This window comes from Homo sapiens, chromosome 3 (genome assembly GCF_000001405.40).
Source record: "Homo sapiens chromosome 3, GRCh38.p14 Primary Assembly".
Lineage (NCBI taxonomy): Eukaryota > Metazoa > Chordata > Mammalia > Primates > Hominidae > Homo > Homo sapiens.
The window spans coordinates 155,624,918-155,648,222 of record NC_000003.12 but is presented as its reverse complement, the minus strand read 5'-3'; the positions used below and the strand labels follow the sequence as shown (position 1 = coordinate 155,648,222).

At 39.6% G+C, this 23,305-nt stretch overlaps 1 protein-coding gene across 19 annotated transcripts in view; it reads left to right on the top strand.

Moving 5' to 3' along the window:
• The window catches only part of PLCH1 (phospholipase C eta 1), a 294,138-nt gene that overhangs the window by 96,849 nt on the left and 173,984 nt on the right, over nucleotides 1-23,305 (top strand). Inside the window, exon 1 of one of the 19 annotated variants that reach the window (XM_011512565.3) lies at nucleotides 486-1,323. The exons of 17 other annotated variants lie outside the window; for them this stretch is intronic. The gene's annotated coding sequence lies outside the window, so the exon portion shown is untranslated. Of the gene's footprint in view, nucleotides 1-485; nucleotides 1,324-1,372; nucleotides 1,854-23,305 lie in introns of those variants that run through there. One more of the 19 variants, XM_011512566.3, reaches the window with a different exon arrangement.

The window sequence follows — 23,305 nt, the reverse complement described above, 5'->3', positions numbered from 1 at the left end:
CTACTACTATTGTTCCCTGGGGACTGTGAAGAATTTAAATTCCTGAGCTCTGACCTTGTGGGCATAGTCTGGCTACCCCTAGAGCTGGGGGATTTTAAGATGACTATATTACAGTTACATTATGCTTTTCTCCCCTGTTTGATCCAAGAGTTAAATTTTCAAGTCTTCTGAGTTTTCAATTGGAAAACTTGTACAAATTCAGTTTTATTGCCTTTGGATAAATACAGCAGGTTGAAACACAAATTGCTTCTTTCAGGACCTCTACCAGAATTCCTCTACTGCATATAGTGGGGGCAGTAAATACCAGGGAAAGGGAAGAAAGCAGGTAAAGTGCACAGGATTTAAGAATCTAGCTATGCATTAGGATCAGAAATTCTTAGGGAGTGCTGCATGAATATTCTATTGATGCTTACAGCTGCTTGAGTGAATAAAAGGAATGATATTTACTTTGTTTTACCATTGTACAATCATTTCTTTTTGTTTCAGAAGTTTAAAAAAATTAATTTTATTATTTTTAAAGACTTTTGAAAAAGTCTTGTTAAGTTTTAGAGTGAGGGTGAAGGACAGAATTAAGTATTTTCCAGTCATAAGTTAAAACCTTTTTCATATCAAAAGTCATCTGGGCATTGCTTTGCCAGGGGTCTTCAGACTCTGTATTTTTTCCTAATGCTCTTTGTGGATCTTTTTTCTGTCTGATCTAACTTGGCTGCTTTGTTGATCTGCAAAGAAAATGCAATTTCCTGTTCATTGTGTCTTTTGGTGTAACAGATTCTGCAAGTTTAGGAGAAAGAGGTTGAGGAAGTGTGTCTTCTGCTTGATAGTGCTGTCCCCAGAAACATTCTTATTAAATTACTATTGAATGAGGCAGTCAAGCGTCTTTCATCCTGGGAATATTAAAGTGTGTGTAGGGAATTCTTTAAAACGTTAAGAGGACAAATGCTTGTTTTTATGGTAGAAGACCACATTCACTTTCCTTATTGACTCTCAGGTTAAGAATACATGCATTTTTCATTAGCTATGCTTTTGTATCCTCAGCTTACTGAATAGGAAAAGCAAGTGGGTTGGCCCTGCATGATACGACATTGATACAAAATTGTTTCACTCTCTGAGAAGAGAGTTGGAAATCAAAAAGGAAGGTGGTGGTTAATTTTGTGCAGCTGCAACAAGTCTAGGTTCTCTATCAGTGTTTGTTCTGCTGATGCATTCTATTTGTTAGATAGGAGTCACAAAGGCTAGCTGTGTCCATGGGGTGGGGAATTGGACTTCATCTCCCAGTGAAAGGAGTGTCCAAGAATTTGTGAATATATTTTAAAACAACCACAGGTATGTATTGTAATGTTCCTTGTGCTTCATTGCTTTATTTAGCTATTTTATCCAAACCCAGCATGATATGTTTATGGGTTTATCTTTTCAGAGTATAGAGAGCGTGAGCTTGGGGCAGGAGGCAGGTTGTGTGGGAAATAAGCTGACTCGTTAGGGAGGAGGTTCAAGGAGGGCTTCATAGACCAGGCAAAGGAGTTTCAGTTCTCTGCTTTAGGCCTGTGTTTTCCAAATGGTGGTGACTTTACCCTCTAAGTCATTTAGAGAAGTATCAGGATAAAAAGAAGGTTATTCCTAGAAGGGCAGTTTTACTCAAGGACTTTAGGGAACTCTCATTATGGAGTTGAATGTGTAATTTCACATACTTTTTAAAGATAAAACAAGAGTCTGCAAAGGATTTGAGTGTGGGAATGAGGAGGCTGGAGTTGCACATTATGGTCGGCAGTGCTGAGAAAGGGTGGGGTGAGACAGAACTGTGACACTAGCTGGTCGCTGTTCCGGATGTCATTTCAGAAGTTATGGTGACAGCTAAGGTGAGTGCTGAAGGACTGAACAGTGAGGACAGAGGGGGCGAAGTTCAGGAAGGAGAAGGGGAGGCTTCGGCCAGTGGGTGGTTGGTGATGTCATCCAGGCTTGAGCCTGAAGCCAAGAGGGTTTCATATGTAGGTGGGTGTATAACCATTTCTTTTTATTTTTTTGTATCCTAATGCTTTCACATCTGGGGCCTTGTTGATCCTGGAGGAACTGCCTCTCTCAGGGTTAGCTGATTTCTAGAGATCGTAAACAGCTCTCCAGAAACACACCTTTCACATGCAAACCAACAAATCTATAGCCCATACCCTCACCATGTCCTTTATCAGTCTCTCAAACCTGGGCCACCATCCACCTGCCTAATCACTCCAGGGCCAGATACCAGACATCTAAGTATAGCACCTTTCCCCCCAGATCCTGCTAAAATTATTCAAACTAGTCAATCCCAAGTCTGCTTAACCTGCCTCACTAGTTCTTTGCTTTGGAAAACAATGAAAACATTTGCCTGCATTTTGCCCTTATCCCATTCCCTTTACCTCCTGACTGGCCTTGGTGGTTCTCTGTGTGGCCACCTGCTCTCCATATTGTCTTGCCATCCCTCCTGTTTCTAGGGAACTGTGAGTTTAAAAAACTTCTCCCAGCACTTTGGGAGGCTGAGGCAGGAGGACTGGAGTTCAAGCCTGGACAACATAGTGAGACCTGGTCACTACTGAAAAAAAAGAAAAAAGCTGGGCATGGTGGCATGTGCCTGTAGTCCTAGCTATTTGGGAGGCTGAGGTGGAAGAATCAATCGCTTGAGCCTGGGAGGTTGAGGCTGCAGTAAGCTGTGATCGTGCCACTGCATTCTAGCCTAGGCAACAGAGCAAGACCCTGTCCCAAACAAAAACCAAAAAGCAACAACAAATAACTCCTTCCTTCATGACTAGTGATTTCTGTGACTATGTGTCTTATACTAGGAGTAAAACAAATCCCAGGTACCTATAAAAAGGTGAGGCTATGCCAGGATCAGTGGTGCACGCCTGTATTCCCAGCTACTTAGGAGGCTAAGGCAGGAGGATTGATTGAGACTGGGAGTTTGAGACTGCAGTGTGCCGTGATTGTGCCTGTGAATAGCCACAGTGCTGTAGCCTGGGCAACATAGTAAAACTCCATTTCTTTAAAAACAAAAAAGGTGAGGGTCATGGAGAATTTGGTTTTAGACATACTGAGTTCAGAGTATCTTGGGGGTACTGGGATATTTGGCTGGAGATATCTAGGGGCAATTGGACATCAGGATTTTGGGCTTTGGGGAAATACCTCAATATTCCCTCTCTATTCTGTCTCGTAGGATTGTGTGAGTTGAGATCATGTATGAGAAGGGGCTTTGAAAATTAGGAAGTACTGTGTAAATGAAGTAGCTATATCTCACCAAGAATAAGTAAAAAAGAAATTTTGCTGTAACCCCTTGATGCCCATCTTTATTCAGACAGGAACATTTACAGGAGTTCTACTGGCTGAATGTCACTGCCGCCACAGTGGCTCAGATTTGATTTCTAAAAAAGGAGCCTGTTCTTATCAACAGAAGAGGAGAATATCAGGATGTTAATATTTTTCACTTGTTCAGATTCAGAGACAGTAATTATAAGTATAAACATGACAGCATAAAATCAATATTTGAATTTCCTTTCTTGGAAATTCTTATCCTTCTCCTTCAAAAAATTGTTTCTTTAACTGCATGCTTTTTGGAATTAGTACTTTTATTTTTATTTTATTTATTTTATTTTATTTTTGAGGTGGAGCCTCGTTCTGTTGCCTAGGCTGGAGTGCAGTGAAGCGACCTCAGCTCTCTGCAACTTCCGCCTCCCAGGTTCAAGTGATTCTCCTGCCTTAGCCTCCCGAGTAGTTGGGACTACAGGCACCTGCCACTATGCCTGGCTAATTTTTGTATTTTTAGTAGCGAGGGGGTTTCGCCATGTAGGCCAGGCTGGTCTTGAACTCCTGACCTCAAGTGATCTGCCTGCCTTGGCCTCCCTAAGTTCTGGGATTACAGGCATGAATCACCACACTCGGCCTCTGGAATCAGTACTTTTAAACTTCTTATACTCACTTCAATAATTTCTCAAATTGGAGATTAAATAGCTCTGAGCTCCAGAGACTACAAACAAAAAGAGGTTGGAGCTGTGGTTCTGGGGTGTTGGAGAATGTAACACCACCCTTCATATTCCTTCATTTTTCCCATGTAATGTTTTTTCCTTTTCTGCACTACAAGGTACTGCCTCTGTATGTATACCTGTCTGTTGATATTATTGGCTCTCTTCATTCCAGTGACTGTTTTTTCCAGTGTGTGATCCAGCCACAGAAATTAATTCAGGATGTGACCTCAAGTTGCTTTTCTTTTCTGGGCCTGCATTTCACCATATCATAACAATCAGGGACTGGGCAGGATCTCTGGAGTAGAACTTGCCACTGGTTGGATGGGATTGACTAAGAAAGAAAGAAGAGAAGAAAAATTACTCAATGAAGTAGACCGAAGCACTTGGTTGCCACTCATTCTTTATTCTCCAATCATACGTTTATTTGTTTATTTATTCAGCAAATATTTACTGAACATGTGCCAGGTACTGTTGGATACACTGGGAAATACAATGATGGGCAACACCAGACATGATCCCTGCTCTCATGGAGCGTACATGCTGAGGCATCACACTGGCAGGTCCAATGAAATGGAAATGTGGAATATAACTAATGGAATGATTTTGAACAGTTAAAGATGAATTTCAGGGGAACTATGTTACGATATCAAGGCACTCTGAAAAGTTAATGCCAATGCCAGCAGACACACAGACAATTTTATTACCTATTTCTGACAACAAATTACCCTAAAATTAATAACTGGTTGTTATCACTTATAGTTTCTGTGAGTCAGGAATTCAGAATGCTTGGGTTAGGTGATTCTATCTCAGGGTATGTCATGAGTATATAGTCAGATCAGCTGAGACTGCACCATCTGCTTACTTTCAAGTTGATGCTGGCAGGAGGCTTCAGTTCTTCTTCATGTGAATGTCTCCACAGGGCTGCTTGAGTGTCCACACAACATGGTGACTGGCTAACCCCAGAGCATAGTGATCTAAGTAACCAAGTTGGGGCCAGGTTTGGTGGCTCATGTCTGTAATCCCAGCACTTTGGAAGGCCGAGGTGGGTGGACCACTGGAGGTCAGGAGTTCGAGACCAGCCTGGCCAACATGGTGAAACCCCGCCTCTACTAAAAATAAAAAAATTAGTTGGGCATGGTGGCAGGTGCCTGTAATCCCAGCTACTCAGGAGGCTGAGGCAGGAAAATTGCTTGAACTCAGGAGGCGGAGGTTGCAGTGAGCCAAGATCATGCCACTACACTCCAGCCTGGTGACAAAGTGAGACTCCCTTTCCAAAAAACAAATAAACAAACAAAAAACCAACCAAAAAACAAGTTGGAAGCTGCAAGGCCCATTATGACCTAGCTTTGGAAGTCCTGCTGTCACTTTTGTCATACTCCATTGGTTACATAGACTGTCTAATTCAATGTAGGAGGACACTACCCAAAGACATGGATATCAGGAAGTTCAAGACTTCACAAATAAACATTCACATGCAAAGAGAAAAATCAGAAAAATCATAGCCTAAATCCAAAATGAAGTCACAGCTGGCTGCTTTGGAAAAAAGAAGGATGAGCTTTGTTGGCAAAGTCAGCTCTTCTGCATGTTTAAAGTCTATGTAGCAGAGAGCCAGTTCAACCTTCCTCTGCCTTTTTGTTCTATTTGGGCCCTCCACAGATTGGATGATGCCCATACACATTGGAGAGCGCAATCTGCTTTACTCTATCTACCAATTCAAATGCTAATCTCTTTTGGAACTACCCTCACAGACACACCCACAAATTATGTTTAATCAGATATCTTGGCATCCTGTGGCCCAGTCAAGTTGACCCATAAAATTAACAATCACAAGTGGAGCCCCTTAAACTTCTTTCAGTGAAGGTGATGGTGGAGACAGTGTGGGAGAGTCTGCAATTTATCCTGAGTGGTTTTTGCTTTCTACTTTCATTATACTAAAGAATGCAGTGATTTTTAATTTAAAGTAACATCTAAGCCTTGGGAAGTAGTTCAGAATGTGGATGCTGAAATCTTACTCCACCACTTACAGGCTGTGTGACCGTGGGGAAGTTACTTAGCTTATTTATGCCTTGGTAGCTTCTGTTGTAAAATAGGGATAATAATAGCACATACCTCATAGGGTTGTTTAGATTATTAAATGACTCCAAGCATGCAAAGCACTGTGAATACTGCATTGTGAGTACCTATTAAATGCTAGGCAGATTTAGCTATTCTTTTTTTATTATTATATTAATGCATTCACTATTTCTTACAACTGGGAACAATTACTCTTGATCCATTTTTTAGTATGCCAACCTTCTGCAGCTGGTGAATCTTAGCATTAGTGGTCTTATTTAGGTTTTTGACTGATTAAACAGGATTAATTTCTGACTAGTGTTTAATAACTTCTCTGCCAGGAAAGCCTTTGGGTTTTTTTTGAGGTTTTAGTATAAGTTTTCAATTGATAGGATCCAGGTGCCCTAAACTTGAGATTTTAAAAAGTTTAAAAAAAATTAAAAATTTTTTATTTGTTTGGATACATAACAGTTGTACATATTTATGGGGTACATATAATATTTTGATACAGGCATACAATGTGTAATGATCAAATCAGGGTACTTGGATATTTGTCACCTTAAACATTTGTCATTCTTTGTGTTAGGAACATTCCAATTCTACTCATTTTCAGATAATTTCTTCTTGCTTGTTAACATCCTTTTTTTGCAGATTGAAGAACTCCCTTTAATATTTCTTATATGACAGGTCTGGTGTTGATAAAATTCCTCAGCTTTTGCTGATCTTGAGTTTTGATGAGGACCTCTCTCCTATCCCCCAAATTTTGACCACAAAGTAGATCAAACACAGTTAAGGAATATTTGGGCTTATCATACAGAGAGAAATATGAGGTAGTATAACACTTATGACCATTTAAATCTAAAAAAAAAATCTATAAAGACAGGTTATAGGAAAACTTGAATTATCAAGATTTTTAATTTAAAAAAATTGTAAATACTAGGGCCAGTGAAACAGTGTTAAAAGGAGTTTGTTTTTGTGACTTTTTTTTTTTTTAACGTTGAAAATCAGTATTAAACATGTATTCCAGGTGACACGGAGGCTATAGGGCTCAAGTAATTGTAGAAAGCTAAATTCTTTCTTATTGCAGAGCCATGATAGTCTCCATTTCAGTACCTAATTTGCACTCTACTTCTTTTTAGCTAGCTTAATATTCATTTATAATCAGAAGTGTAGTGAGTCGCAAACCTTAAAGGATTTAGAAAGATTTTGTGAAATTAGCAAAATATCTGCTACCACAAATGTTATGTTATGAATTCGTTCGTTGAAATTTACTTTGACAGGCTTAGGAAAGGATCTACAACATTAAGGAAGAAATGTTGGATACCATGCTAGCGGAGTAGTGGACTGATATTCTCCCTGGGCATTTCTGAAATATGGCACTATTAAATATTGGAAACTCTCTGGTGACTTAACTTCTAGTCCTAATATATATTATATAATCATGGAGGTTTTGGGCCAATAATCTAATAATTAACTGATGCTGGTGACAAAGAATGAGTTTTCATGTAATGGTTAGAGATGTTACATAAAATATGCCCTTTTGAAGAGAAATAGCCTATGTATTTAAATTATGCTAGTAGGCAGCATTACACATGAGCAACAGATACTTCCCTGGGACAATAGGCTGTTAAAGGACCACAAAAGCCTCCTAATTGCAATCTTCCTCCATTCTAACCCATTCTCTACTTTCAGCCAGGGTGCTGATTGTAAAGATGAGTATCCCATCGTGGGTCACTCTGCTTAAAACGTTCAGTGGCTCACAGAGCCCTCAAAGGAAGTCTGAACAATTATTACATTCACTCACTCTCATTTTAGTTTTTCTTCCACCCTGCCATTTTATCACCCAGACATCTTGGATATTGAGTCATCTCAAGGAATTCAAGGATGACCAGGGTTCACAAGAGGTGAACTGGGAGCACAGGCAGGCCTTCCTGCCCAGCTCTGACCTCCGTGGCTCTCCCTGCCATCTGCCTCATTCTCTTTCTCTGTGGACTGTCTCTGCTTTGGCATGTTTGGAAATGGCCACCCTGTAGCTCACTTGTTTAGATGTCTTTCCCACAAGTGATCAGCAGAGATAGAGGTTTGTATAAGTCCGTTCTCACATTGCTATAAAGGAGTACCTGAGAATGGGTAATTTATAAAGACTCACAGTTCTGCAGGCTGTACAGAAAGCATGGCTGAGGAGGCCTCAGAAAGCTTACAATCACGACAGAAGGCAAAGAAGAAGGAAGCATGTCTTACATGGCTGGAGCAGGAGGAAGAAAGAGAAGCTGGAGGTACCACACATATTTAAACAACCAGATCTCGTGAGAACTCACTCACTATCCTGAGAACAGCAGGGGGGGATATCCACCCCCATGACTCAGTCACCTCCCACCAGGCCCCTCCTCCAACACTAGGGATTATAATTTGACATGAGATTTAGTCAGGGACACAAATGCAAACCATATCAAGGTTCTATTTCCAGTTCCCGGGAAAGTGAATCTGATGGGCTAGAGTAAGATAGGCTCTCCTGAGCCTGGGAGATGGCCACAGGCATAGTACTGGCTGTGAAAGCAGACTGCCAGAAGAAAACACAGTCAACCTTTTGTTGCTCCCCTTAGCCCACTCCTTCCCTTTTCATTTTCCAATGACTATAACATCAGATGTCTTCATATAGGCTTGGAGTTTGGTCTTTGGTACCGAGGACTGTGATTGCCATATACATTGCTTATTTATTTATTTTTTGAGACAGGGTTTTGCTCTGTAGCCCAGCCTGGAATGCAGTTACATGAACGTGCCCCACTGCAGCCTTAACCTCCTGGGCTCAAGTGATCCTCCTGCCTAAGCCTCCTCTGCAGCTGGGACCATAGGCTTGCACCACCACTCCAGGCTAAGTATTTTTTATTTTTTGTGGAGACAAGGTTTCACCATTTTTCCCAGGCTGGTCTCGAACTCCTGGGCTCAAGTGATCTTCCCGCGTTGGCCTCCCAAAGTGCTGACATTACCGGTGTGAGCACCACCCCTGGCCCCTGGTTTATTTATGGGAAGCTTAAGGCAGCCAAGAACCTATCTTTCCAACAAGGTGGTATATCTTGTCAATTTTTTTCATTTACTCATTTATTTAACCGATATTTACTAGTTATCTACACTGTTTAAGGTGCTGTAATATAGAGATGCATGGAATATAATATAATTATATATAGTATAAAGTCCAGTTTACTTTTTGGGGGAAACTGTTATATATTTAAGCTACATTTGCTTGCTTGTCCAGGGTTATAATCCTTTATTCATTAATATTTTCCCCCAGATCTTGTTCCAATATTATGGCAGGCAGTCAAACCCTTTAATCATTTGCCTGTAAAGATGTCTCTGATTTATTCAGAAGGTTTACTCATTCTAGTTAGGAGTAACTAGGAGAATAGACATGTTAGAAAAATAGAAATCTAACAGCAATGTTGCATGACATTATGAGTTTGACATTAATTAAATAACAAGAGAGTTTGTATTATCTGGGAAGCTGGAGGCTCTAAGATTATAAACATGGCAGCTTGCCCAAATCATTTCTAGAGTTGGAAGTAGCTTGAAGTTCAAGACTTCACAAATAAACATTCACATGCAAAGAGAAAAATCAGAAAAATCATAGCCTAAATCCAAAATGAAGTCACAGCTGGCTGCTTTGGAAAAAAGAAGGATGAGCTTTGTTGGCAAAGTCAGCTCTTCTGCATGTTTAAAGTCTATGTAGCAGAGTCTAAAAGAAAGCAAACCAAATTTCGATTCTCTCTTATAGCAGGCTTAAATTTAGCTCTTTGTGGAAACTGGTGGGGAACATGTACATGGTTAAAGGTATATGGTGTTATGTTTTTAAAGTTCAATGATGATAACTGTTGAAGGGGTTATATCACTAGAGTATTTATTGGGGTGATAGTGGGTAGTAGAATAGTGGGAGACCCCTCCAAAGAGACCATTAGGTAAACCAATTTGTTGAATATTTGAAATCATATTCTCTTGTAGTGAGGAAGAAAGCATACTTGAACTTGCATTCTTACAACTGAACACTTAAAAACATCATTTGGAAAGCTGTGCCATGATAACCATTGTGAAATAAATAAGGGGAAGAAAGCATAATCCACCAACAAATGCCATCAGTAGATGTGCCAAAGCTGAGTGATGTTTATCATCAAGCTTTGATTTGACGGTAAACATGTGCAGATCGTGTGCAAACTGTCTTCCTAACTGTTGAACCCCTTGCTTCCTTTGTGCACTGGCTAGTGCACCCAGGGATGTCAGGTGACTTTTTCATAAGAAGATGGTAGGTTAATTCCATAAAAGCGCAATTCAAGAGCCCACTTTGAATACATTTTGAGGTGGAATGTTGTCTTTGCAGTTGGTGATTTGAAAGGTTACTTTAAATCCACTGAGTAAACATACTAAAGTAGGTGAGAGGTTCTTTCTTGGGTTTTGGGAAAGTGTTATTGATGTATGATAATTGTGGCTAAGGTCATTTCCTAATCTTCAATATTAACTACAAGTTTGTCCTGTCCTCTGTAGAGAAGTATAAGAATTAATTTGCTGTCTGAGGAAATAAAAATGATAAGGGACTACTCACAAAACGCATTTTCCATAGCAAAAGGGCAAAAGTGCTAATTGAATGTAGGTAATATTTTCCCACTTCGAGGAAAAAATAATATGAACTTTGAATCGATTCCTTATCTACAGATATGGATCCTTATCTACATGGCATTTTATTTTGCTCATCCTTAGGACTTTTCTCATCTTTTATTAGGACAGGACCTACCATGTTTTTCTAATAATGCTGGCCTGGCCAAAGTCATATAGAACTTTCGAATTCCTTTTTACTTGATGTTGTGCCCAGGGGCTGGCCAAAGTTAAGGGTTTAGCCTCTTCTGGCACTGAGTAGTCCACAGGGAAATGGACCTCTGACTGAGGGCTCATTAATTTATCCTAGTCAGTTTTATTTTTTAATATAATTTCTGCATCCAGGTATAGTTTACAATGTTCAGACTGTATCTTTAGCTGTCAAAGGCTTACGGTCCAATCAGTTTGGGGGGAAAAGCTGCTGAGCTTTAAGCTGTTCTAAAAGTATATAATTTACACAAAAATTAGAGAAGTTGGATAGGGTGATCTATCTCTAGTGAATGACTGTTTTGTTGTTGTTCCAATTTCCAGTCCATTACAGACTGATAATTTTGTGGACTACAGTAAAAATCAATTACTAAAAGTAAAAAACCGAGACATAAAAAATATAAGCTCCAAAGTTTTATTAGATTTAACAAATATAAAATTAGACTATCTAATTGTTATAAAAGTTTTCTAATTTTTTTCAATATATCTACACTTATGTGAGATAAGCATACTTATCTCATTTTGTACTCATCACAAATAGTTTGCAGATTGGCATGGAATCACGCTGAGACACAAAATCTAATTTTTTTTTTTTTGAGATGGAGTTTCACTCTTGTTGCCCAAGCTGGGGTGCAATGGCGTGATCTCGGTTCACTGCAACCTCCACTCCGGGTTCAAGTGATTCTCCTGCCTCAGCCTCCTGAGTAGCTGGGATTACAGGTGTGAGCCACCACACCCAGCTATTTTTTTGTATTTTTAGTAGAAACGGGGTTTCTCCATGTTAGCCAGCTGGTCTTGAACTCTTGACCTCAGGTAATCCACCCGCCTCAGCCTCCCAAAGTGCTGGGATTACAGGCGAGAGCCACCGCGCCTGGCCTACAAAATCTAACTACTTAGTTGTAGTTGAAAAAGTTAAATAGCACCTAGAAGCTTCCCCTTAAAAAATTTCCCAAAATGATATCTTGATTTAAATTTGCTATATTCACTTTTTTCCCTAATAGCAACAATAAAAACAACAACAACAGCAACAACAACAAAACATTGACTACATTTTCCCTTTTTTTAAAACAGCGCCTCAACAGGTTAATCCTATTCCAGGGAAGTCTAGGTTATCTGCCTAGTCCTGGGTGAATCTTGATCACATTGGTTATTCCAGTTTCCTGCTGAATGATTGGAGTAGGTAGGAACAAGTGACACAATGCTGGCCAGTGAGATGTGAGGGAAGTTGGGGAAGTTGGGGCACTTTTGAAAAAGTTTTCTTTCCTCTTAAAAAAGATACGATGAAATGATTTGAGGCTATGATGCCTGGAGCTGCTACAGCCATCTGTCAACCTATGCGTTTATGATGATTAGAGTAGAAACATGGAAGAAACTTGGATTTTCAATGAATTATTCAATTGCTAAATAAACTAATTTTACTGCCTTCCAAATTTCTTATATGGGATTTAAAAATTCTTTATCTTTTAAGCAATTTGTCGTTCTCTTATTTGCAGCCAAAAGTATCTAAACAGTAATTTGCAATCATTCAAAGCATATATGATATTTTAATAAGGAGTTCAATTTTTAAGGAAAATCAGTAATTAATTAGATGTTTAAGAATCAATTTCCCATGCAATGCTCTACCGCAAGGCATGGCTTTTCATCAGGTGGCAGCTCTTAGACTTGCAAGCAAAAAGACTACTAGAAGGAATGAACTGATCTCTGTAGGATTTGCTCAGTGAGCCAAATGTTTAAGAAGAAGCATATGTCACAAAAATAAGGTGTACTGCAGCTGTAAAGACTGCCTTTGTTTTGAGATATGGGATATTTCTAACCTTCAGAAGGGGTAGGTTAAATCAAGTCTGAATCTTGTTTTGAGTCTTGAGGCAAGTGCACAATGTGCATAGTCCTCTCAGAGCAGGCTGTAGGTTATGGATCATCAGTAACCATTGGAGGCTGTGGCTGAGGGGTTGCACAGTCTTTTTTAATTCCTCAGTGCTCTGCTTTCAGCCTTGAAAGTTTACTGAAATGTCCAGATGGAGGAGATGCAAGCTGCAGGGCTTGAGAAGTACCTATGAGTATAAAAAGAACTATGACTAGGCATTTTGGGTGCTGGAGTTTGTGACAAGTAGATGGAAAGGAAAAAGAGATGGGGGCTGAATGAGGTCATATGAGTGAGTGTAGCTGGCAATAGAGCTGAGAGATTTTAGTTTTTTTTTTTTTAATTAAGAAATGAATGACACGTTGAGTCTGCCATTATTATGTGTTAGAGATTGTCCTCAGCACTTTTCTTACATTAATTCATTGAATCCTCACCACAGTCCCATCAAACAGACAACATTATCATGCCCAGTTACAGATGAAGGAAGTGAGTCCAGTCCAGGGAAGTTAACTATCTTTTCCAAGACCCACAGCCTTCATAGTTCACGCTTTTACCCATGAACCACTCTTGCCATATGGAACATTTCAACTGTATAGCCAAGTCAAAGAATAGTATAGGAATCACCCAGGTATCCAGTCCTCCACTCTGTCATTTAAAGAAATACAACTTTAAGAACATAGCTGGTCCCTGAACACCTTTCTCTGCCCGCAGTTCTCCCTTTCTTTCTGTGAGCTTTCTGGCATGAGGCTTGGTTTGGCTTTTGGTAGAGGGGCTGGGTTTACTTTCTCATGCCTCCTGGGCCCTGCTTACTTAAGCAGCAGTTCTGAGAGAAGCAGTTTTCTCCAGCCTCTGGAGCCCAGAGCCAGGCTTCAGCCAGTTGTTCTAGACAGTGAGGGAACCTCTGGCCCCCTTATGGGTGGATCCTTCAGTCTTCATTTAGTCCCCACTGTCCTGTAAGTGCTCAGCAACCAGCTCCATTGCCCTCTGTTGGTCATGGTGACCTGAAGCCCCATGGTTTCAGTCCCACTCACCACAGTGAGGCCTCTGGGAAAATGGGAAGGGTAATGCTATTGATTTGGGGGAAAAGAGGCTTTTCCCCCAAAACTACCTTGCGCAATGCTTATTCCTCATTTGATGGTTACCAGTAGGCAGCGCAGTTAAGCACAGTCTGAACCTTTTCTAAGGGCACAGGTGTAACAGAGCAACACGCTGCTGCTGTTTCTTGGTTGGAGGGGCTGTGAAGGCCAGGCTCTTACAGCCCTCTTTTGGTCACAAACATCTTATTTTCTGAGTTGTTTTGACTTGAAGAAATTAGGGTGATTATTTTGGAAGGATACATGAAATTATTTTCACAGTTAAATTAACTTGATATTGAAATGCAAGTTTTCTTGGCACCCGTGGATGGTAAGCAGTAGGGAGTCTGCTTTAGGCTTAGTTATTGATGCTGTTAGAACAACTCAAAGGAATTTAGAGGAGACGTGGATTGCAGCCTATAATACCTTTAAGTTAAAAAAAAAGATGGAGTCAGGAATGCTTCACCATGGAGTTGTTTTGTTTGTTTGTTTTTTGAGACAGAGTCTCGCTCTGTTGCTGAGGGAGGAGTGCAGTGGTGCGGCTCATTGCAAACTCTGCCTACTGGCTTCAAGTGGTTCTCGTGCCTCAGCCTCCTGAGTAGCTGGGATTACAGGCATGCACCACCATACCCGGCTAATTTTTGTAGTTTAGTAGAGATGGGGTTGGCCATGTTGGCCAGGCTGATCTCGAACTCCCGGCCTCAAGTGATCTGCCCCCTCTCAACCTCCCAAAGTGTTGGCATTATAGGCGTGGGCCAGCGCACCTGGCCCACCATGGAGTTTCTGCTATAATTTATCTTTTGATTTATTCATCAACTACTTAGCATTTACCTCTTGCCAAACACTGGCAGGTATGGGAGATATAGCAGTAATAAAAGCATATAAAAATTCTTACCCTCATGGAACTTACATTCCAGCAGGAGAGACGGAAATAATAATGCAAGTAGGTGTGTTTATGTTTGTGTGTGTGTGTGTGTGTGTGTGTGTGTGTGTGTGATGTTATATAATAAGTGCTGAAAGAAACAGTGAAGGAAACAGGAAAGAGTAGGTTTTTTTTTTTTTGAAGAAAACTAAACTGTTTCAAGGAGCATATTACCAGTGCAGAAGCAGATATACAATAATCAAAATAAGATTATGACCTCGAAACTGCATAGCCTCTTAGAGCATCTCCATGCTTGGACTATGATACATTTGAGAAGGTGGGGATCTAACAAGTAGGTAGGTCTTGGTGCCCTCAGCAATGGGAGCTGTAGCCCCCTTTCTCCCCTCCAGGGTGACCCTCCTCATGATCTAAAACGTCTCCTGACTGTCTCACCTCCAGCCCCTGCAATAGGATTTATCATGGTAAAAAGAGAAAAACTTGAGTTCTTCACACTCAGGGAAGGGAAAAATCTGGAAATACGTTATGGTCAACCACTGACCTCATTGGCAATGTTAGTAGTAGGAGGGAAAGTGATTTTTCTTTTTCAGAAAAGAATTTTGATGTGTGTGTGTGTGTCTAAGTGGGATAGGCTTTGGAGATCAGCATAGCCTGGGAATTTGGCAAGTTGGAAATGAGCTTTTTATTAATATCAGAAATTCAAATGAGGATTACTTCTCTAATGTAATTGCCATGAGCATTCATAATAATAATATTACAGATCATGTGCAGACCATCCTCTTTAGTTTACTAATAAAAGATTTCCATAAATCAGGATATAACTTTAAGAACACTCCCTCACCACCATTTAGAAAAATTGTATGAGGAACTGTTTTTTTTATTTGCAAGATTTTTAAGCAGAGCTCTTAACAATTTTTTTGTGAGCAGTCATTTTAAAGTGCCTACATTTGCATGACTTTATAGAGACACAGTTAAATTGACATAGGCCTAGTCATCTCAATACAGAAGAGAAGGCAAAAATTGCATTTTAAAAACTGCATTTTGGACTGGAAAGTATTTAATCCCCAAAGATAAACCGCTTTACAGCTGATTTGTTCATGGATATGATGATGGCTCTAGAAGGTAATAGATACTTGATTTGGTTTCCCTGAATAATTCCAAATTCTGGATTAAAGCATGGTAATTGACTTAAAGAAGACAGGACTTTTTTCTTGATATGGAGATATAGGGAGTAGCGTGTGTGAAAGTGGGTAGGAATAGAGTATTCTGTGACTACAAATGAGCTGATTCTATGGAGTTTCCACTTGTAGCTTTTTGGTAGTTGTAATATTTCAGCCATCAAGCACAGCTCTTTTCAGACACAATAATGATCACTTGCTGACATGGCCCTTTCAAGCCATGTCCGGTGTCTGACAGAGCTGATGGCCACTGTGAAACTACTGAAAGATGTCCTGGATGAGTCAAGCTGGCCAGACTGGCTTAGGTTTAAAACCTTGGATCCTCACATTTCTGGAACAAAAGAAAGGATGCATACAGATCACACAGAAGTGTGATTTCAGTTAAACCAATCTTGACTATTTTTATGTTTCTGAGTCAAGTGCTTCAAGACAAAAAAAAAAAAAAAAAGGAGTTCTTGTGGTCACTTGTTCACGTAGGGAAAGAGCATTTAAATGGCCACTAGTGCCTAAATGTCCACAGGTGCTTCTGCATTATTCATCAGAAGTTTCCTCTATCATTAGAATAGCACTGTCTTGCACAGAGCAAATGTTTCTTTGAGATTTAAAGAAGATGTAGGTCTAGTTGTTGCTTTTTCATTTTTCAGATCTGGATTGTGGGGATAAATTCTGATGTTTGAATTGTTCTTGTTCTGTGGGAGGAAAAAGATTTCTGATTACGGTACTTATCAGCAATTGGAGTGCTGAATCAGTTATGAAAATTCAAAATAGCATGCAGATTGCGACATAATTTTCCTCTGTGAACAATCCTTCAGGGAAGCAGCCTTACAGGATAACAGTTCGATACATTGTTCATTCCTGTACTGAATGTTGTAGTGACCCACGTCTGGGAGAGCCGGAGTCCAGGCAAAGCTCCTACATCTCCCGGATGTTGACAAGTATGCTGCCTCAGTGCTTTTTGTTGAATTGAGGTTCTACTGCTTCAAGTGCATGCATCATATTTAAACACAGTGTACTTAAACTTGGCAATGATCCTAGCATTACACTAGGATCCTAGTGATGTTAGCATTAATAATATAATCAGTAATATGCAAGAGTGCCATCTCATATTTAAGGCTTGTATTTTATTATTTGTCAAGCATCTACTCTGAGTCTACTGCCGTGGTCCTGTGAAATTACCAAAATACCGAGAATTTTGTTCCCTTAATGCATTGCTGTGGCTGTAAGTCAGGCAAAGGTGACTTAAATGTGGACCAGTTTGATTTTTAATAATAAATTTGGATCAGAATTTTAGGGTTAGATAAACAACTTTTAAGAATAATAAATTTTTCCCTAAAAAATTAAAAATTAGAAGTAGTTTCTGTGGTGAGCCATAAAAGAATATCTTAAATTCCAAAAATTTCTTCAATCATATGAAAGAAGTTTAGTGTCTGTCTTTTAATTTTCAAGTCTCTTTTTTAGTTCTTATTCCTTTTGGGTACATAGGATATTAGGTACTAGTTTAAGAAGTTTTTAAAAACTGTATTTATTTGTAAAATGTTACTTGTTTATTGGAAAACAGGGAAGAGAATAAAGAAGAATATGAATTATCCTTAACCCTCTAAGCCAGAATCAATCATAGTTGCCACCATTTTTGTATAAAGTCTTTTCTCTGTTTCTCATAATGTAAACAAATATACAGATTTAGTGTTAAGAGCCTCACCTTTGTGTGATTAACTACAGTGCCGGAGTCAGAAAGAAGAAAATGTAGACGGTATATGCCAAAGGAAGGGTTAATTCTCAGAAAACTAGAGGAGCCTAAAATATGGCAGACTCTTGCAGGCAGCCCAAAGACCTGATTTAGGAAGTTTATCTATTTTGAAACTTGAAGTTCTGGAAGATATTTTGACTGGATAAGTTTGCAGCCAGCTGGGTGACTCCACTATATTCTGATTGATCTAATAAAACACTTTCAAATCAAGTTCTTTGGTATTAGCACAAGTAACACAAATCGATTAAAATCTAAGCTAACCATTATCATTTTTTACCATTTGTGTTGGCTCTTCATCAGATCTTAGCTTTAAATGCTAAAATTCACTGGCTCTGAGATAACCACAAATCAGTCTCTGCTTTTATTCTTAAAATACTCTTTAATTTTTTAAAAGGCAACCAACAAGAGTTGGGGATCTCCTTTAGATCTGTTTGTTGAACCACCAATTCATTAGTCCAGTGAACAAAAATGTATGTAGTTACTGCTGTGTGGCAGGCATTCGTCTAGGCACAGAAAATCATGGGATGATAAAACATTTCTGTCCTTACGGAGCTTACATTTTAGTGAACAGTGACAGGAAATGAAGAAAATGACTGTTAATAGTAGTTAACTAGGAGGCTGCTTTAGATTGGGTGGACAGGACTTGTCCCTTTAAATTACTTAATCTTCACCTGAATATAAAAAAGGAGTAAGGCATACACATAGCTGAGAAGCAAGTATTTCAGGGAAAAGAAACAGCGAGTACAGCGAGTGCAAAGTGTGCTGGGGAACTGTGCAGAGTCTAGTGATCTTTGGAAAGAAGGGCAGGAGGGAGAGGCTGGAAAGAGACCATGCAGGCCCCTGGCGAGGAGTTTGGGATTAATTACGCTCCCAGTGGGAGGTTGCTGGAGTATTTGAGACGTCTACTTGACCATTTAAAAATACCATATTGGCTGTGACATTGAGAAAGGGGGTCACCAGATTGATGGAGACAAATGGCAGATGTGGGTTATTGCAAATGGAGAGTCAAGACTGTGAAGGATGGAGAAAGGAAACAATCATGAATCTTTGGTTTGGATTTTAAATAATTAGGGGATGCTGGAACCATTTACTGAGATGGAGAGGCTGAAGAAAAGCAGGTTTAAGATTTATGTGATGTTTAAGATCTTATTAATGCTTGTCATCTTCAGCAGTTATACGAGCAAGTCTGGAACTGAAGGCAAAGGATGGGGCTTGAGATTTACATTTGGAGTTATCTGTGTGTGGATTGGAATTAATGCCATGGGATTAGGCCACATTGCTTAGGATGGTGTAGAAACGCAAATTCCTTCAACATTTGGAAGCAGTTTTATTGTCCTGCTGTAGAATTTCAGATAACTGAGAATCTGCCACTACTTTGAGCCGCTGCATTTTCTGAGCTCTGATGTCATTCAGAAAAAATGGAAAGAAACTAGTATTTGTTGAAAGCCTAATGTGTATGCAAAATTGAGCAAGACACTCTTTACATGTTATTTCATTTAATCTTCACCACGATTCTCTTAAAATGTGAAGAAACTGGCTCAGAGTTAACTAAGTAAGTAGAAAAGAAGGTAATGTGACTGAGAAGTGACTCCAGGATTTAAATCCAGGTTGTTCAGTGTTCTTTTGCTTTATTGGGCTTGCAGTTGGCAGAGTTGCAATGACAATTATTTTATTTTGATAGCTCTTGCAAATTATATGGAATTTTAAAGTGAATATAACATCTCCCATATATATGTTTTAAAACTTTCAAAACAATATTTGCTCATGGCAAAGACAAGAAAACGCCTCAACAAGGTTTTAAGGTGGGATTTACTCTCATCCCTTTCTCTTTAAATACCATTTCCTTTCCACAAATTCTAGAAATTTCCAAGCCTATTGTAGAAGAGAAAAGATATCTTTCCTTACCCACCACTAAGTTCATAGCTGAGACTCCTATAACAAAATACAAATTAACAAGAGAAAAGCATACAAATTTATTTAATGTAAGTTTTATGTGACACAGGAGCCTTAAGAATGAAGAAGCCCCTCCCCCAACTCAAAAAAAAAAAAAAAAAGAGAGGTGAAGATCCAAAGCATGGGGAAACCTGTGTATTTTTATGTACAGTTGGGCAGAAGAATGATGGGATGGCAAAAGGATATGATCAAATATTGGTAAGCTGAGGGGAACTTAGCAAGGCTTGTTTGCTCAGATTCCTCTTGGTGTCTCTGTGTCTTCGAGGATAAGGATTTTTTTTTTTTTTTTTTTTTCCTGGGCATAGGGAAGGCACTTTTGGAATGAAAGTCTTACATCCTATGTTACAGGAAGGTCAGGTAATTCTTTTATGACCTGCTTCAGGGGAGAAGGGTGGGAGAGGTCAGAGAGTCATTCCTGCTTCTGATATTTCCTCAAAGGTCAATGTGCCATACTTTGGGGTGGTGTATCCCTGAACCCCTTTTTATATAGTGTATATTTATGTATATACATGAAATAACTCAAATAGAATCATGTTCTATCTGTAGTTTTGTAACTTTTTTGTTCACATAAAAATGTGTCTTAAGCCCGGGAGTGGTGGCTCACACCTGTAATCCCAGCATTTTGGGAGCCCGAAGGGGGTGGATCACTTGAGGTCAGGAGTTCGAGATCAACCTGGCCAACATGGCGAAACCCTGCCTCTGCTAAAATTACAAAATTAGCCAGGCGTGGTGGTGGGTGCCTGTAATCCCAGCTACTGTGGAGGCTGAGGCAAGAGAATCACTTGAACTCAGGAGGTGGAGGTTGCAGTGAGCCAAGATTGTGCCACTGCACTCCAGCCTGGGCGATGGAGTGAGATTCTGTCTCAAAAAAAAAAAAAAAATCTCCGATAACTTTTTTTGGCAAAATTAGATTTATGATATTCTTTTTAATCACATCATAATATATGGTTAACCCACCATTTATTTAATTGAGCCCCATGGACATTTAGATTTTTTTCAATTTGTTTTTTTTTTTTTGAGGTGGAGTCTTGCTCTGTCGTCCAATCTGAAGTGCAGTGGCACAATCTCGGCTCACTGCAAGCTCTGCCTCCCGGATTCATGCCATTCTCCCACCTCAGCCTCCCAAGTAGTTGGTACTACAGGCACCCGCCACCACGCCGGGCTAATTTTTTTTTTGTATTTTTGGTAGAGACGGGGTTTCACCATGTTAGCCAGGATGGTCTCGATCTCCTAACCTCGTGATCGGCCTGCCTCGGCCTCCCAAAGTGCTGGGATTACAGGCATGAGCCACCACACCTGGCCTACTTCAATTTGTTTTTAAACCATTACAAACAGGGTGGCAGTGAACAGCTATGTATCTGTAATTAACTGTGTGGATATCTTTGCTTCATTATGTCAGTATCTCTGCAGGACAAATCCTTGGTATTATGCTTGCAAGGTCAAAATGCATGTTTGTTTTAAATTTAGATAGATATTGCCAAGTTGATTCAAATAACGTCGCTAATTCATAATCTTGGTATTAGCCTCCTAACTTCATCCACAATGGCTTTTTAACATGAAAAATTTTGCATATCATGTGACATTATTTACTTTGACTTTTAAGTTTTTAACCATGAGTAAGGGTATTTTCTTCCTCATGTTTATTGGTTACTTCTGTGAATTGTCTTTTCATTTCCTTTTGGCTGTTTTTTAATTGGATTGTCTTTTTTATTGACTTGCAGGAACCCTTTATGTAATGGGATATTAAACCTTTATTTATTAGATATTCTTGTAGATATGTTCTCCTAGCCTATTGTTTTGAATGGTTTATATAGATATTTTTGCAAGTAGTTAAACTTATCATCTTTTTCCTTTTTTTTTTTTTTTTTTTTTTTTTTTTTTTGAGACGGAGTCTCGCTCTGTGGCCCAGGCTGGAGTGCAGTGGCACGATCTCGGCTCACTGCAAGCTCTGCCTCCCGGGTTCATGCCATTCTCCTGCTTCAGCCTCCTGAGTAGCTGGGACTACAGGCGCCCACCACCACGCCCGGCTAATTTTTTGTATTTTTAGTAGAGATGGGGTCTCACCGTTTTAGCCAGGATGGTCTCGATCTCCTGACCTCGTGAACCACCCGCCTTGGCCTCCCAAAGGGCTGGGGTTACAGGCATGAGCCACAGCGCCCAGCCACTTACCATCTTTTTCCGTTAGGATTTCTGTCTTTTCCCACATTAGAGGAAGTGTGAAATTCTACTCTGGAATGGCTTCTAGGAGGACCGAGTTAGTTATATGGCAGTACTTATGTGTTTAAAATTGTATAGACTATAGTGATTGAAATTGAAATATGTGTCTTATTTCATTGACCTACCAGTGTCAATGAGACACCCTTCCAGTGTCCTGTGTTTCTGACATTGGGGGCTTCTGAGGTGGCTGTCAGATATTAATCATCTTTCTTTTTTTTTTTTGTGATGCCCCCACCCCACTGTGTCCATGTGTTCTCATTGTTCAGCTCCCACTTACGAATGAGAACATGCAGTGTTTGGTTTTCTGTTCCTGTGTTAGTTTGCTGAGAATGATGGTTTCCAGCTTCATCCATGTCCCTGCAAACAACATGAACTCATCCTTTTTATGGCTGCATAGTATTCCATGCTGTATATGTGCCACATTTTCTTTATCCAGTCTATCACTGATGGGCATTTGGGTTGGTTCCAAGTCTTTGCTATTGTGAAAAGTGCCACAGTAAGCATACATGTTCATGTATCTATAGTAGAATGATTTATAATCCTTTGGGTATATACCCAGTAATGGAATTGCTGGGTCAAATGGTATTTCTAGTTCTAGATCCTTGAGGAATCACCACACTGTCTTCCACAATGGTTGAACCAATTTACACTCCCACCAACAGTGTAAAAGCATTCCTATTTCTCCACATCCTCTCCAGCATCTGTTGTTTCCTGATCTGTTTTTTAATGATCGCCATTCTAACTGGCATGAGATGGTATCCCATTGTGGTCTTGATTTGCATTTCTCTAATGACCAGTGATGATGAGCTTTTTTTCATGCTTTTTGGCTGCATAAATGTCTTCTTTTGAGAAGTGTCTGTTAATATCCTTTGCCCACTTTTTGATGGGGTTGTTTTTTTCTTGTAAATTTGTTTAAATTCTTTGTAGATTCTTTGTCAGATGGATAGGTTGCAAAAATTTTCTCTCATTCTTTAGGTTGCTTGTTCATTCTGATGATAGTTTCTTTTGCTGTGTAGAAGCTCTTTTGTTTAATTAGATCTCATTTGTCAATTTTGGCTTTTGTTGTCATTGCTTTTGGTGTTTTAGTCATGAAGTCTTTGCCCATGCCTATGTCCTGGATGTTATTGCCTAGGTTTTTTTCTAGCGTTTTTATGGTTTTAGATCTTACGTTTAAGTCTTTAATCCATCTTGAGTTAATTTTTGTATAAAATGTAAGGTAGGGATCCAATTTCAGCATTCTGCTTATGGCTAGCCAATTTTCCCAACACCACTTATTAAATAAGGAATCCTTTCCCCATTGTTTGTTTTTGTCAGGTTTGTCAAAGATCAGATGGTTGTAGATATGCGGTGTTATTTCTGAGGTCTCTATTCTGTTCCATTGGTCTATATATCTGTTTTGGTACCAGTACCATGTTGTTTTGGTTACTGTAGGCTTGCAGTATAGTTTGAAGTCAGGTACCATGATGCCTCCAGCTTTGTTCTTTTTTTTAGGATTGTCTTAGCTATGCAGGCTCTT